We start from the raw sequence: 17,019 nt of genomic DNA, 5'->3' as shown, positions 1-17,019 counted from the left end.
TCCATGTGACATTGGGCTTGGTAATGAGTTTGTAGACACAGCATCAAAAGCATGACATAAGAAATTTAAAAATTGATGAATTAGGCTTTGCTGAAATTAAAAACTTCTACTCAGTGAAAGACAGTTAAGAGAATAAAAAGAGAAGCCATAGACTCAAGAAAGCATTTGCAAAAAAGCATATCTCATAAGGAACTTAGATCCAAAATATAAAACAGCTTTTATGCTTAACAATAAGAAAACAACCCCTAAATTGGCAAATGATCTGAACAGATGCCTCAGCAAACAAGATATACAGATGGCCAATAAGCATAGAAAAAGATATTCAACATCATTTATCATTAGGGAATTGTTCATTAAAACAACAAAACGCATTGCAACTAATTAGAATGACTAAAATCCAAAAATAAAGCAAAATAAAACCAAAGCCCAATAAAGAACAGCTATTCCACTTGCTGATGAGGATGAGAGACAACAGGAATTCTCATTCTTTGACGGTGGGAATGCAAACTGTACAGCTACAAAATGGTGCAGCTACTTTGGAAGACAGTTTGGCAGTTTCTTACAAAGCTAAACATAAATATAGCATACAATCCAGCAATCCTGTTTCTAGATATCCACTGACTAATTTCAAAACTTATGTTCACACATCACACACACAAAAAGTGTCCTGCAAATGTTTATAGTAGCTTTATTTATAATTTTCCAAAATGGAAACAACCGAGACATTCTGTAATGGATGATTGGATCAACTGTGGTATATCAATAAAACAAAATAATATTCATTAATAAAAAGAAATGCATTATCAAGCCACAAAAAAACATAATTATATGTAAATGCATACTACTAAGTGTAAAAGCCAGTCTGAAAAGGCTACATTCTATATGATTCCAGTTATATTACGTTCTGGAAAATGTAAAAGAAGAGAAATGTTTTAAGTAAAGCCCAGTAGATAATTTTTAATGCAGTGAAACTATTCTATTTGTTGATGTAATGAAGACTACATGGCAATATGCATTTATAAAGCACATAGAAATTTACAGCACAAAGAGTGAACATTAATGCATATAAAAATTTTAAAAAGCATTTAGAATAGCAAGAGATCCCAGAAGGTAATGCAGAATGTGACAAAACTATATTATAAATGCATGAAACCCCACTGAATGGGGTGGGTGTAAAGAATGCTGACCTAAGTAATTTTGGAAACAAGTGGATTCCTTAAGACTAAAGTCAAAGAAACTGTAAAAGTACTGTGTTCCAACTGATGAAATATCGGCTATGAGGATAGGGTTTAAGAATTCTGATTCAACTGTATGCATATTCTGAAACTAAAAAATTAAGTAAATGGATGACAGATGGCAGGAGCCTGATTTCTCACTGTTGCAGTGGAAAGTTACAGATGAGCAAAGAGAATTTGCTAGAAAAGTACATGTGGTAATAGACTAGAATTGGAGATATCGATATGAACTCATTTTTATACTATTATAGATGTTGATGACATATAGAAATATTTATATGTATATATATATGGATTGGTAAACACACATATATTTCCTTCTTTGTCAGCTGAGTGGGCCTAGAAGAAATGACACCCAGAGCAATGAGTGTACACCTAACACTAACATCTCGGTTTCTAATACCATCCTCCAACAAAAAGAACCAGACTTGTAAGAAAATGGCTGAGTTTGGCTGGACACAGTTGCTCACATCTGTAATCCCAGCACTTTGGGAGGCCGAGGGGGACCGATCACCTGAGGTCGGGAGTTTGAGACCAGCCCGACCAACATGGAGAAACCCTGTCTCTACTAAAAATAGAAAATTTGCCAGGCATTGTGGTGCATGTCTGTAATCCCCGCTACTTGGGAGGCTGAGGCAGGAGAATCACTTGAACTCCGGAGGCAGAGGTTGCAGTGAGCAAAGATCACACCATTGCACTCCAGCCTGGGCAACAAGACTGAAACTCCATCTCAAAAAAGAGAAAAAAAAAGAAAATGACTGAGTTTAAGATCAGAATATAGACAAGATAAGCCTAGTGCATCTTTTAGTGTAAACACATGCACACAAAATGATGAGGTTATATAAAGTGACACAGAAGCCCACAGAAAGAGCTGCCAATGGCCAAAGATAGAACAATTTGAGCAACAAAATAATAAAGTATTAAATATTTTATTTTACAAAGTTCATAGAAATTTACTGTACAAAAAGTGAACATTAACACAGGCAAAATTTTTAAAAAACATTTTGAATATCAGGAGATCCCAGGATGTCACGCAAAATGTGACGGTATAAAATTAGCTATCTGTGAATCACTATGGTTATAGATAAAAGCAGTGAAAGTCAAAGAAAGTGTGATAGCCAAACGAAACCTAGGAGCAAGATTTGGACTACTTTAAAATGTAGCATTGACGTACAGGTGCATTTATTAGTGTCATTGTTACATTTTGCTATGTTTATTCAAACACAAGTCTAGATTCTGGGCTGCAATCTTTGAGGGTAGTACCGTGTAGATAAAATAATCAATGTGAGCAAAGAGAAAGCCAGGAAAATAAAGCATGCTAGATAAGATGTTGGAGAAAGAATTATGCATTATTCCTGCCTATGTTACGAACATTTAGAAGGCATAGTTTTGATATCCAGCTATCCTTCATATACACCATCATTCTAGATAATAAAAATATATTATGTGGTTTTAATCCCAAAGAGAAATATTTTTCCCTATCCTCACCTTCATTGAGTTAGCTCAGTAGGCTATACCGTTCCAATTAAATCACAAGTAGATTTATGGTCAAGTTGTCTGGTACATGATTTTTTTTTCATAATATGTTTTCTACAGGGTATCTTTTATCATACCATGATTTATTTGTGAAAAGAACCAAAGAAATTCCCCTCTGCCTCTTACATCAACCTGTCCCTTTGTCTGAGCAGTCAATAAGTTATTAGCCCAGGAGTAATATATTATTTACTTTTCCCTTCATATGGGTATGTATTGTATTTGTGTGTATGCATGTGTTGTGTGTGTGCACTCGACATTATTACTAGGTAATTGTTTATTAGACAACATAGCATACTCTATACCTTAATGCAAAAATGTGGGATTTCATGATGTTGTCCCTCAAGGAAATTTAAGGATTTATTAGTAGAAGCGCCTCATTGAATACATAATTATTTGTCTTGACCCTACAGAATTGCCTTCTGTGGCATTTTAAGGAAATACTAGTCAGAAATGTCTTAAAAGGCATTACATAGCACTGTTTAAAACCCCCACTTCTCTTCACTTGCAAAAGAAAATTTCTTTTCAGTCATATTCTTCCATTGCCTAATAAAATTCTTCATCTGATGAAGTCAATGAGGATAGAATTTAGATAGCTTTGTATCTTTTGTTTCAGGGCAAAACGTGAGATGTAACACCAAGGTACTTACTTAGAGAGGCGGAGAGACTGCTTTCTCTGCTCTCTTTCCCAAGAGGCCACTCACTATTGATAATCGAGATTATTCTTCCATTTTAATTTGGTAAATTTTTAATGAATTTCAAGATTTTTCTGTAGCAGATAATACTGCTAGGTGAATTTGTGAATTGGGCCCAGGTATATACTGAGTAGATCAATACTAAGTTCTTTAAATACTATTATTTTTTTTCTTTCTGCTCTGGCATCATAAAGCCAGTTGTCACAGCATCTTCTAATAATCGTCTAGAAGAAAGTGAAGCTTTTTACCACTGGTTTTACCTTATATTTGACTATCTGGTCTCCTGCATCTCAAATGATCCCCAATCACGTTGACAGTTTGAGAATAATTTAATCATTGCTAGTACTAACCTCCAGTAACTGAAAATGTTAGTAAACCTACATACAATTTTTTTAAAAAAGAAAAAAAAATGCTTCTTTTGCTTTCTGGTCTTATCAATAGAAGCAGTAGGAATTAACTTCATGTTGGTCTTACCTATCTTTTGGTTGAATTGCTTTTCTTTAATGATGCTTAGCAGAGCTCCTCTCTATTTTTGGTCACAATCTAGAATGTTTGCATATTCCATTGGACACAATGCAATGAACTATTTATATTAGCATCCTGGCCTCTGATTATGCCTCAAACATTTTGCCCAGTATTTTCATTACTTCATATCCATTGATGTATTTTTTATGTACTCCAGTGTGCAAGATATTTAAAATCTGGAGTAAATGCTGATGAACGTTTATGAATGCATCATTGTTTTCACACTATATTCCACATAGCTAGACATCAACAGTAGAGGAATAAATGAATTGTGGTGTATTCATACAATAGAGATTATTCCCTAATTAAAATATGTGTGTCAGACCTCACAGAGTATAAATCTCACAGGTGTAATACTGAGCAAAAACAACAGACATAAAAGAGTATATATTGGGTGCAAGCATGTGCTTAATGTGCACAGGCAGAATTTATCTGCTCTAATTAAAAAAAAAAAGTTAATTTGGAGATGAAAATTCCTAGAAGAGGACAGAAGAGCCTTCTTTGGTACTGTCAATTTCTGTTTTTTTGTCTGAGTGGCTGTTGTATATGTTTTTACTTTGTAAAACTTTTTGGAACTGTAAATATATATCAGTTTAATTTTTTTATGTATGCTGTGCTTAAAACAATTTAAGTAAAATAAAATGTAGGAAAATAGAGGACTGTAATTGTTGGAATAATCCCCAGATCAGTGCCAGTGTATGTGTTATCATGTGCGAGTGTTGTATTTGATTGTGAGATGGGCATGATGTTAGACTAGAGATTTCTGGTCAGGCGCGGTGGCTCACGCCTGTAATCCCAGCATTTTGAGAGGCCAAGGAGGGCAGATCACGAGGTCAGGAGTTTGAGATCATCCTGGCCAACATGGTGAAACCCCATCTCTACTAAAAATACAAAAATTAGCTGGGCATAGTGGCGTGTGACTGTAATCCCAGCTACTCGGGAGGCTGAGGCAGGAGAACCACTTGAACCAGGCTGGTGCCAGAGCAAGACTCTGTCTCAAAAAAAAAAAAAAAAAATAGAGATTTCTGTAACCCTCTCTAGAATAGGTCCCACTGTGAGAAAGCTGGAGCTAATTATTTTTTCAAAGTCTGAAGTATGCATGTTTTATTTCAGTCTCATCATCTTTATACTTTCTGAAGATTTAACCTAGAATTTTCCATTAAACAAATTTTGTTCAAGAATTTAGGTGGTCCATCGACCTTGGTTTTTCTTATTCTCCTCTCCAGGCATGCTAACCTTCTTTCTATTTTTACACCTACTGTTTTTTTTGCCTGGATGCCTATCCAGAGGGAGATGTGAGACTCCATTAAACAACTAGCTCTCAGGTGCACTAATGGAGCCAGAACTCACTTTCTACCACGGTAAGCACACAGAGCCATTCATGAGGGACCCGGCCCCATGACCCAAGTACTTGCTACCAGGCCCCATCCCCAACATCAGGAATCACATTTCAACATGAGATTTGAAGGGGACAAATACCCAAACCATGTCAATAACTGGAATATTCTGTTTATCATTCTTCTACATGTTTCACTCACTAGAGGCAGGGATCCCCACACCCCTGCACCCCTTTTTTTTCATTGCTATTTCCATAACTTCACAAAGTGCCTGGCAAAAGGTAGATTCTCAAGAAACATTTGCAGAAATAATGACTAAAATATGTCAAGAAGTATTTTTTTTCCACTATGAACACCTTGGTTTCTTTTTAGGTGTATAGACAAATGTAAAATTAATGAAGAGACAATTATTATCTATACTGACATGAGATGCAAATCTGTTTTTATTCCTTGTTGTGTAGAAATTATAAATTGATAGATGAAAATAAAGTAAGTTCACAACACCTTTGAATATATTTCTCCTGATAAAATTAAAACCATTTATAGCAAATGTTATCTTAGAATCTGGTATTTAAATGGATTATTTATGCAAATATAAAACAGAGACAAGAGGAAAATTTCAGGAAAATAATGCACTTTATTATGTCATAGCATCAAAATAAGATTTATATTCCTGATTGCGATTAAAGAAATATTGTATTCACCACACACGTAGGCATATGATCAAATCTTCACAGCCTTTTGTTGTTGTTTTTTCTTTCTAGTCCTCTGCCACATGATATATTTTCTTCTTAGGTAGGCATAGTAATGGCATTACTGATGAAGTAAGTAAATGAGGTAAGATTGCCTTTCTCTAAAGAATTCCCAGTTGTGAAAAGGCTGTGAAAAGAAACGGTGGCTCATATATTCAAAGCATTAATAAATCTGAAATGAGGAAATAGATAAAATGAGAAATAATAAACATATAATCAGAATAAAAATAATGATAAATGAGAATGTAAATGGACTACCTACTGACAATTAGTTAACTTCTATTTGTTAAATGTGGAAAGCAATAAGATTATTATTTTTAGTATACTACCTGGAATTGAAAGCACAGAGCTATTTCCTTTGTGCTCTCTCTCACTGACCCATCAGGTGTTTTGTTGTGGTACAGACATGGTTCAAAAATGTTTTACCCCCCTTAACCATTGTATTTTAACAATTTTTGTTGCCCACTCACCTTCAGAAGACTTTAGGAGTTATGGAGGCAGTAGACAGTAAGTGGATACCACCACATACTGTGAAGGTGTATATATTTTCTTGAAATGTTACTATTTGAAATGTTACTATTTTGCTGTTCTCTAGTGTTGCTGTTTCTGTTTCTGTTAATCTGTTTCTGTATGAGAATCTGAAAATAGTTAAATCAGTAAAAGTATAATGTGACATATTTTCTCATATTTATTATACTTTAAATATACAAGGTATCTCAGAAAAAATGAGAAATTAATGTTTCAAGGAATTTTTCAGCTCTGAACTGGATGCCTCCACTGTGGTGCGATAGTGGTACGATCTCCGCTCACTGCAACCTCTGCTTCCCAGGCTCAAGCCATCCTGTCACCTCAGCCTCCCCAATAGCTGGGACTATAGACACGCACCACCACACCCAGCTAATTTATTTTTATTTTTATTGGAAGAATGGGGTTTCCCATGTTTCCAGGCTGGTCTCAAACTCGCGAACTCAAGCAATCCACTCGCCTCGGCCTCCCAAAGTGCTGGGATTACATGTGTGGGCCACTGTGCCCAACCATATTTTTTATTTCTCCTTACATTTCTAAAACTACTCACGTATCACTAAACTTAAGATATTCAACTATTTTATGTCAGGTGTTTTCCTCATGATCAATCTGGTCCATCAGCATATAGCCTATAGTCAGATTTGTATAAATAGTCTTTGTACAAACTCATACCTCTTTCCATGCTGTCCCAGCATAACAGCTTAGTCCTACCATGACTTATTCCTGACCCTGTTTTTTTTTTTTTTAACTGCCTGTCATTTGCTTTCAAATGTATATTAATGAGCCTTAATTACTTAACAGACATTAAGTAACTGGGGATAACATTTGATTTTTCTCTAAGCTTCCAAATGTAAAATCAAATATAGTGATAAAATCATAGTAGCTTGAGATCAAATCTTAATGAGAGTTTTATAAAGTAGATATTTAAATAAATACTTACTTTAAAGCCATTTTCTCCTATATTAATTCACTAAAGTATTACAGAAAAGCATTCTTAGCAACAATAACAATCTGCATACTACTAGTGAAGGACAACAAACAACATTTAATATACAAAAAATGTCTATAAAAAAGTCATTTCGAAATAAATACATTAAACATAATACATTTCATACTATTTAATAAGTATTTTTTAATTTTACAATTTAATCTCTCAAGCATTGCAACGAAAATCAACACACTTCTATTATTTTGCCATGACAATTATTTTTGTTCATTGCAACTGTAAAATTCAGTAGAAGCTTATCAACACTTACCTCCTTCTTTTAGAAAAATGCACTTCTGTGAGTCTTCAAAGTAATTATTGTGCTTCATAAAAACTGTGTTATTATGTTGGCTTAGGATAATATGCTTTTTACATCAAAATAACTTATAGTTATTCTCTCCTCTGTTGGTAATTATAACCCGAGTCCACTGTGGTAATAAACTTGGGCTGAATACTTGATGGGCCACTTTATTTTATTCTAACTACCCTTTTTCTATTATGACTATTTATTATGTCATCATAAATGTGATGCACGGCAACAGTAAAGTGCAAAGACACCAACACATCTAACTCATTTCCTGAGGTGTGCTCTTTTTTCCTTAGGCAAAGGCTTCAAGTTTTATTTATTTGCAATATCAGAAAGTATTCAAAAGCCATATTATCCCAGGTGTTTTCATCATGAAAAGGAGCTTTTTGAACATATATTATTGAACAGAACCAACATTCCCCATAAGAAATGGCCTTGTTGCCTATAGTCGGGCAACTTCACACCTAACTTCACTGCAAAAAAACAAAGAAAAAGCATTTGAATTGAACATAAGAAAATATTTTAGTAGGTGGAAATATGCTTAGTTGTGTCCATTATTGAGATTGCTAAAAGATGAGAATTAGTCTGACATACATTCTTTTCAATATTGATCAAAGGAAAGATGAAATCTACCCATTAAGTTTTTATAGTATATATTTTATATGTCCTCTTCTTTCCATAACAAGAATGTTTTGTTTTTTGCTTTTTTTGTATTCTTTTTATGACTATAGAAAATTTACAAATTCGTTTGCAGAGATAAAACATTTCCTAAAATTTAATGTACACAAAAGGTATTATGTGACCTGTTATAAAAGGCACATGATAATCTCATTGCCATGACCTCCAGTCATAATTTTACAAAAAAAAACTAATAAAATGCTATTTAACTGGATTGTGTTGGTATGTACATTTTATGAGCCCATGTGTGACAACATAGTGAAGAAATATTACATTTAGTGGTATTGTTCTCCAGACATTTTCACCTATTATGATCCAGCCTAATTTGTCCTGTCCTAAATATTTCCAAATGTTTACATTATTTTGCCTCTTTTGCCAAGTTTAAATTCACTTTTCCATCCCACATCTCATTTTTATTTTTTGCACATAAATGTTTGCTATGCTTTCCAAATAGGTCCTATATTATCTGCAGGCTTCTAATTTTAGGAGTTATAGCATTACTCAACTTAGAAATACCAAAAAACAGAAAAAAGCCCCCCCTCCCCCAATTTCATTCATGTAAATTCTTCCAGATGGATCCATGATCCATCCTGTGGCCTTCATTTTTAAAAAGTATGTTGGGCTTTACTGTAATATTCTTAGTGTTAAACCACTTTTTTCCTAAGCTGAGCCTTCTATTCTGAGACACTGAAATTGTAATTAATATTCCTAATAATTCAATTCCTGCATCTCTGAAGACACACTCTTTAGCCCTAGATCTAACTCTAAGTGTTGAGGTTGTGAAAGTCATAAATCTGTGTCAAATGTTTAGGTTTGTAGTATTTATTAAAAATTATTTTATTGCATAAATAATTCACATATATGATCTTTAATTTTGGGGATTTTTATGCCACTAATAAATGCTCATTTAGGATAACAAAATAAAGTAAGAATTTTTAAAAGCAAATTTATCAAAAATCTATCCTATAGAGATAATCATAATTATTATAAAATATAGTTTTAAAAATGCAAATATGCTCATGGGTATGCATCTTACACGTGATAGGTAAACCCATATAAGAAATCTTAAATAATATTTACATGTTGAATCATATTATCTACCTCTTTTTGCCGATGGACCTATAACTAGACTCATGTCCCAACACAGCCAAAGAATACATTACAAAAGAAGGTGAGGTAAACACCAAAAGAATTGCATAAATTTTCAAATTTATGTCAACATAATTAGCAAAATATGTTTGGAAATGCATATTAAGGATGTGGAATTTAGCAGGAAGGAGTAAGAAATGAGATCGGTTTAGATTTAGTGATGTGGGCCCATTAAGTAGACATTTTAGATTCAATGTTTTACATGGAGGGTTATTTTCATTAGATACTAAATTCTGTGTTGATAGTGTTTTCATCACCATTTTATCATCTTCTAATTTATAGAATTTCTGATAAAAATAACTGTTATTCCTAAAGTTTCATTTTTAAAGGAAATGAATTTTTTTTTTTCTTTTAGCTGTTTTAAAATGTTTGTCCTTGACTTTAGTTTTTAATACTTTTATTTAATGTACCCTATGGGCTATGTGTGGTGGGGCAGGGAGGTCATCCCACTTGGGGTTTGCATGGCTTCTTGAATTTTTGTGCGTAGGATTTGTATTAATTTGATAAACTCTCTTCTACTATCTATTCAAATATTGCTTGCGAAACTATTCTAAATCTGTTTAGTATTTTAATCACCTGTATATTAGAACTGTATATTTTTCCATAATCATTTTATACTATTATCTGTATTTTTTAACTTTTTCTGCTTTCCTGTTTCACTCAATGTTTTCTACTGATCTAGAAAATATTCTGGTGTCTTCTTCTGGTTGGGCTCCTATAATTTAGTAATATAGACTGGGTAGCTTAAACAACAAAAGTTTATTTCTCACAGTTCTGAAGACTAGGAAGCCCTAGAGTCTGAGTGCTAGCTATTTAATAACTGGTAATAGTCTGCGTTGTGGCTTGCAGACAGCTATTTTCTTCCTGTGTCCCCACACGGCAGACAGACAGCCATCCAGCTCTCTGGAATCTTCTTATAAGGACACTAACCCTATCATGATGACCCAACTCTCATGATCTTTTCTTAACCTAATTGTTTCCAAATGCTTAGTACCATTTCAATGGGGATGTTACATCTACTCTACTATCATACCCATCTACTGAGTTGTTAATTTTGGTTATTATATTTTACTATAGAATTTATATATAATTATATATTTGTAAGATTAGGTTCAGTTGTGGGATGCTCCATCTTGTCATCTATTTCTTAACCATATTAAGCACAGCAAACTGAAGGTCCGTGCCTGATAGCTCCCAAATCTGAACTATTTCAGGTATCTTTATGTTGACCTTTTATCTTAGCATTTGGTCACCAAGTTCTATCGCACCATGTAGTTACCACATTTTATATTTAATCTTAGATGCTGTATATATTAAATCACACAGCCTCTGGATGATTCCACATGTCTCCTAATAGAAGATAGTTCTTGGATGGACCAGAGTGCGAGTAGGGTGAATAAGCAACTGACCCCATTAGCAATTGCATTTGTTTGAAGTCCTTTGGACGTGGAGTGGCTGTTAAAAGGGAAGAAGTCATGTCTAATTCTAGTTTGCCCTACTCCTAGGTTATATCTTATCAGGGATCTCAATAGAAATACTAGCATGCTGACCAAGTACACAGTTTCTTGTTAAGCTTGAGCATTATATTGCTTTTTTTTTTTTTTTTTCCTCAGCTCTGTGAGGCAGTTTTATAGCTGGTTGCTGTCTCTTACCCCTTTAGAATTTGGCAATAAATTGTGGTCTAAATTCACATAGAAGGTCAGGCTCATATCTGTAGTTTCCTTTTCTTGGCTTCTAATAACGGGTTCCCTAATCTTGGTTTCAAGACTTTGCTACTTTAGTTGATCTGGATTCCAATTTTCATCTTCCCAGACCTTTGATACTTTTGCAAAACCTCTAGATTGCTGCTTTTAACCGGGCTGCAAATTTTTGCGTCAAGAATCGAGAAATGACCTTAGAGGAGAAAGGATTCAGGGAAAGAATATTTCTTCTATCCCCTTCAAGTCCTGAATTTATTGCTCTCTTTCTCATGCCTTCAAACAGTTGGGATTTTTATTTTCCTGGTGTGTTATCTAGTTTTATAGTTGTTCTCAAGAAAAGAGTTTGTGTAATACAAGTGGAGCCATGATAGCTAATTATAGAAGTGTTTCATTTAGTTTTATTTCTTTTTCATCAAGTACTATGAAAGTTTGATATAATGACGTTACTTCAGAGCTCTTTCATAGTTATATATGATAAGTTCTGATATGTGGTTTATTTTCTAGATTCTGAAATTTTAATTTAATCCATAATTGTTTAAAGGGAGTTTACAATTTTCCAACTAAAAGGTCTATTGCCTGACATTTTATTATTCATTTATAATTTTATTGAATTTCCATAAGAGAATGAGTTTATATTTTTATAAATTTATTAAGGCTTTTTTGTGGTTTCATATATGATGACTGTCAAAAGTTCCAGTGATATCTGAAATATTATATTTTGATATATTTCTATATCTCTCTTAAAAATTGTTAGATTTTTGAGGTTACAGGATAAATTTTCATCTGTCTGTGTGTTATGCCTGACAAAAGAAAGCTGTCCAATGAATTGCACTGATTGGAATGCTGAAATAAATGCCATACATAATTAAAATACTGTTCCTGATTTATTAGAGAAATAGCTCTTTTAGAGGAGATAAAGCTTTGCATTGGGACAGATTTAATATCCCCAAATTATCCATCTTTTCCTTCAGGAGAGGCAACATTTTTAAAAACTTCTCAATCACCATGTACCAAAAAGAAAATTAGACATATTCTTTTAAAATGGTTTTGTTGCTAATGTTATGAATAATTTTCTCTTTCCTATTTTCTTGATTTTTGACATTTCTAAATCTCATCTAAATAACAGAAAAAATTGTTTAAAACACAAAGTATGTAATTAAAACACAAAGTAGGTATTTAAAGGTGTTAAATACATAAGACTTTTTAAAATATGATCTTGTCATAGTACTCTGTTAATTCAGAGAAATCTGCCTCGTGTTTTTTCTTCCCAAAGTAAAGATTAAAAATTCTACTCACTGAATATCAAAGATCCTGATGGCAAACAATAGGGGAATTAGCAGTGTTGCCAGTAATATTCTCTATCTTTCCACTGGTTTGTCTAGCTACTTACCTATGTATATACCATAAGGACCTCTGCAAAGAAGTGCACACTCCAGGATTTTCTCTTACAGATTTATTTATTCATACTGAATTTCTCTTCTTGCATTACTTAGTTAACACAATACAAATTTTACACTATTTCTATATTTTGTGATGCAGACGGTGGGGGTCTATTGAAAATGTGTTCCAATTCCCCTTGTTCTCTTAAAGAAGACGACTTCTTAGCATTTAATACACAATAGGAGATGTTCCTATTTTCTTTCAACATGACATCAATAGTGAAAAATAATAAGAATTATTTTTGAATAGTAGATAATACTATGAAATGTCAACTTTTATTATGTGCATTTGAGTATTCTTAAATGACAACTTTAAAATGAAACTGTGCTCTGACCAATCGCTTTTAAATAAGTTTTATAGATTTAACTGTTACTTTTTTATAAATGTGTTACATCAAGACTAGCGTAAATGTTCTTTCTTTCCCAACAGTAACTTAATGTCAAAAGCTAAGGCAATAGTAACAACAAAAGTACCAACAAATATTTTCTTTTAATATTTAAGTTTTGAACATTTATTTATTTATTTAGCAGCATCTAAACTTGGGAGATAAAAAAGCAAGAAATACAACAAAAATCATACATTGTATGTTGAATACCATTATAAAATTAACAAAACTATTATCATAAAAGTAGTAATTTAACAACCCTCATAAATATTTTAACACACAGCCTACAATTTTTGAAATACTTTAAGCCCGCACTTTCTCAGCTGGGAATCTCACACACACGCTTCACCCCACCCCACCTCTGACACGGACACAGACACAGAAAAAAGAGAGAGAGGGAAAGAGAGAATATATTATTTTAAGAACAAAACTTTCACAACTGAACTATGCATTCAATTTGGACATTGATTAGCATTTTTTGAGCCCTCACAACAGGATAGCTGATTTCAAAAAGGTATGAAATGTAGTCATCACAAAAAATTTGCAATGTGGATTCTACTTTTATTATTAAACATATGATTACTTAAAGAGGAAAATATTCAAATGACCTCAATGTCTCACAGCTGGTAAATGGTGAATCCTGAATTCTAACTCTAGTCTGCCTACTTTCAATGTGCATGCATTTTACCTTGTATGTCACTACTTTCAGTCTTAGATCTAGCAAGAAGTATGATGTTAAATTGGGTTAGGAGACCAGTGGGTCACAGCCTTAAAGGCCAACTAAGGGAGATTATAAAATATAAAACAGCATGTCAGGTGGATATTGTGCTTGGAAAAGATGTCCTCATCATCTATTTATGGGATACGTGGAATATATAGAAGCAGGTAGAGACAAAATAACCAAGGATATATACGCACCTATGGCTCTATTCTAATCAGTTAAGAATAAGCCAATGGGGCCACGGACAGTGACTCACACCTATATTCCCAGCACTTCAGGAGGCAGAAGTGGGAGATCAGATTGTGTGAGTCCAGAAGTTCAAGACCAATGTGAGCCACATAGTAAGACCTCATCTCTATTAAATAGAATAAAATTTAAAAAAAAAAAACAAAAAACAAAGAATAAGCCAGTAGGCCTTGGAAAAATAATGGTATTGGCCATTATTGAAAAAAGTCAAAAAGGGAGAGAATAAAAAGCTCTAAGCAGAAAGGAATTAAGATAAATTATATAGAAGAATGAAAAGATGGCAAATTTAAAATTATGTAAGATTGTGTCTTTAGGAAAATTAGAAGCAGTGTGAATATTAACAATAACTAACTTAAAAATGCCTCCAGTAAGTGTGGGGAGGGGAATTATGTTTTTTAATTCCTCATATGTGAAAATCATTCTTTTCTTTTTTTAAAAAAAAAAGTATATAGATATTAGTATATGTTCCATGGAGCAGATGAATAAAATTTGTTGTCAAATTTATTGTCAGGCAACAGATGATTTAAAACCTTTCCTTATTTTTTTACTTTGTGGTCATTAGGAAAAAAGAAAAAAAAATTATTAGTTTTATTTACTCACCTGTAAAATAGAAATATATACATGATAATATCATGATGAAAGTTATATAAGATATGCATCAATTATGCTTGGATAGTATAGTAATTCAATAAAGAATTGTTGTGGGTTATTATTTCATCATTATTTAATATATATCCTTTATATAAAGTATATTTAAACCTTCAGTTTTGTTTTTATAACCTGATTTAAAGGAATTATTTAGCTATAACCCCAGTGTGTATTAAGTGATATTAAATATTATTGCCCTCTATGTTTTTCTTCTATAGTTAAGTTTTATATTTGCCAATAGTGAAGCACATTGAATTAAAACTTTTGAAATAAGGAGTTGTGTGCTCATTTGTTTCCCAAAACCAACATATGCAGGAATATCTTTGCAAATATTAGCCAACATAGATTGTTAAATGTTTTAAAGGTCACTTTAAAAAAAGAGTGTTTCATCAAGAACTCTAATCTGATTGTTCCCCCACTCCTTATAATTATCAAAAATTGCAATGATAAATCCTTATGTGTTTTTTAAAATTGATTTTGTTGTCCCATAAGTACTTCATATAAAGACTTCCTTTAGTACAAAAAAGGATTATTTGTTCTATCACTCGTTATATTTTTTACAATTTTTTCTACACACAGCATTGCAAATGATCTTTCTGTTGATTCTTTAGTTTTCCCTTCATATTAGTCATTTTCACTTACTTTTCCATTTAAATAAATTAATACAGGAAAAGCCCCTGAGTTCATCTTCCATGGTGCAACTTTTATTTTTTGCTTTATTACATTAGCCTTTTACTGCTGCCAGTGTGGATGCTGTAAATTTGCTTTAATTTCTTTACACATTTTACTTCATGCATACTTATTTCATTGCTCCCCAATGCCTGTTTCTTTCCAGATTTTATCTCCTCATGACTTTTTGCTACTAATTTACAAGAAGCTAGATATTCTTATATTCTAGAGAAGTGGTCCCCAGCCTTTTTTGGCACCAGGGACTGGTTTCATAGAAGACAGTTTTTCCACAGTTGGTGGGTTGGGGATGGTTTCAAGATGAAACTGTTCCACCTCAGGTCAACAGGCATTAGTTAGATTATCATAAGGAGCACACAACCTAGATCCCTCACATGTGCAGTTCAAAATAGGGTTCATTCTCCTATGAGAATCTAATGCTGCCACTGATCTGACAGGAGGCAGAGCTCAGGTGGTAACTGAGCAATGAGGGGAGGCTGTAAATACAGTTGAAGCTTCGCTCACTCACCCACCACTCATCCCCTGCTGTGCGATCTGGTTCCTAACAAGATGCAGACTAGTACTGGTCTGCATACCAGGGGTTGGGGGCCCCTGATCTAGAGAATATAAAATGTTTTCTCCTGAATCTTGTTTCACATACTTTCAAAGATATACTTCTCTTTCTTTGTAATTTTCAATGTGTTTAATGTGGTCATATAAATTATTTGCAAGATATAGGGAGATTGAATTCTCATTGGGCCTGTTTACTATTTATTTCCATGGTAGTAAGATCAAAACCTTTCTCAGACCACTAGAGAAAGTGACAGGAATTTTCTCTTGGTCCCTTTGCTGGACTCACAGCAGGGTTGCCATGTCTACTTGGCCTGCTACACTCAATTCCTTGCAGGAAGGAGCATGTGAGCAAGTGAGTGCAGGATCTGGTTGGCCACTCAGTTGGCCCCTGGCCCTTTTGTGAGTGGTGGCTGCCCTCTGCCAGTGAGGGCAGAAGGCCTGTGAGGCAGACTTTCTGGGTGTCTGCTCTTGGTGGGTCCCAAATTCTTGTCCAGCATCCAAGAAGAATGAGGATATGCTGGCAATCAATGAGTGAGCAAGTTGGGGAGTTTTATTGAATGATGAAACAGCTTTCCACAGAAAGGGGATGCAGGGGTGGTCCCCCTACCAGAATGCAGAAAAAGTCCTCTCAATGTGGCTGAGTCTGGGGCTTTTATGGGCTCAGAATAGGGAAGGAGCAAGCTGTAGTATAACAGTATTGGAAAAGGCAACATTCGTTTGGTTAAAAGGCATTATTTAGAAAGAATAAATCAGGAAAGGGTGGGCAAACAGGAACAGAAGTTCTCACTCTGGGTTGTGGGTTTCATGCAGGATTAGCAGTTAGGACTTTCAGCCTTCGGACTGTTTTTTGTCTTTAAGGTGGAGTTTCACCAGGGACCCATCTTTATCTACCTAGCCATTTGGCTGCCTCCTGTCACTA

At 33.8% G+C, this 17,019-nt stretch overlaps 2 long non-coding RNA genes across 2 annotated transcripts in view; one reads left to right on the top strand and one right to left on the bottom strand.

Moving 5' to 3' along the window:
* LOC101927967 (uncharacterized) overlaps positions 1-17,019 on the top strand; it is a 547,036-nt gene that overhangs the window by 366,780 nt on the left and 163,237 nt on the right. The window lies entirely within an intron of this gene.
* Positions 5,943-8,018, bottom strand: LINC01851 (long intergenic non-protein coding RNA 1851). The gene is made up of 3 exons (NR_110286.1): positions 7,859-8,018; positions 6,548-6,715; positions 5,943-6,249 (listed from the first exon to the last, which is right to left on the bottom strand). It is a non-coding gene; the product is annotated as a long intergenic non-protein coding RNA 1851 (long non-coding RNA).

The sequence above is a fragment of the Homo sapiens genome, chromosome 2 (assembly GCF_000001405.40).
Source record: "Homo sapiens chromosome 2, GRCh38.p14 Primary Assembly".
Classification (NCBI taxonomy): domain Eukaryota; kingdom Metazoa; phylum Chordata; class Mammalia; order Primates; family Hominidae; genus Homo; species Homo sapiens.
The sequence above is the reverse complement of the archived record's forward strand: the minus strand, read 5'-3'. Positions and strand labels throughout refer to the sequence as shown.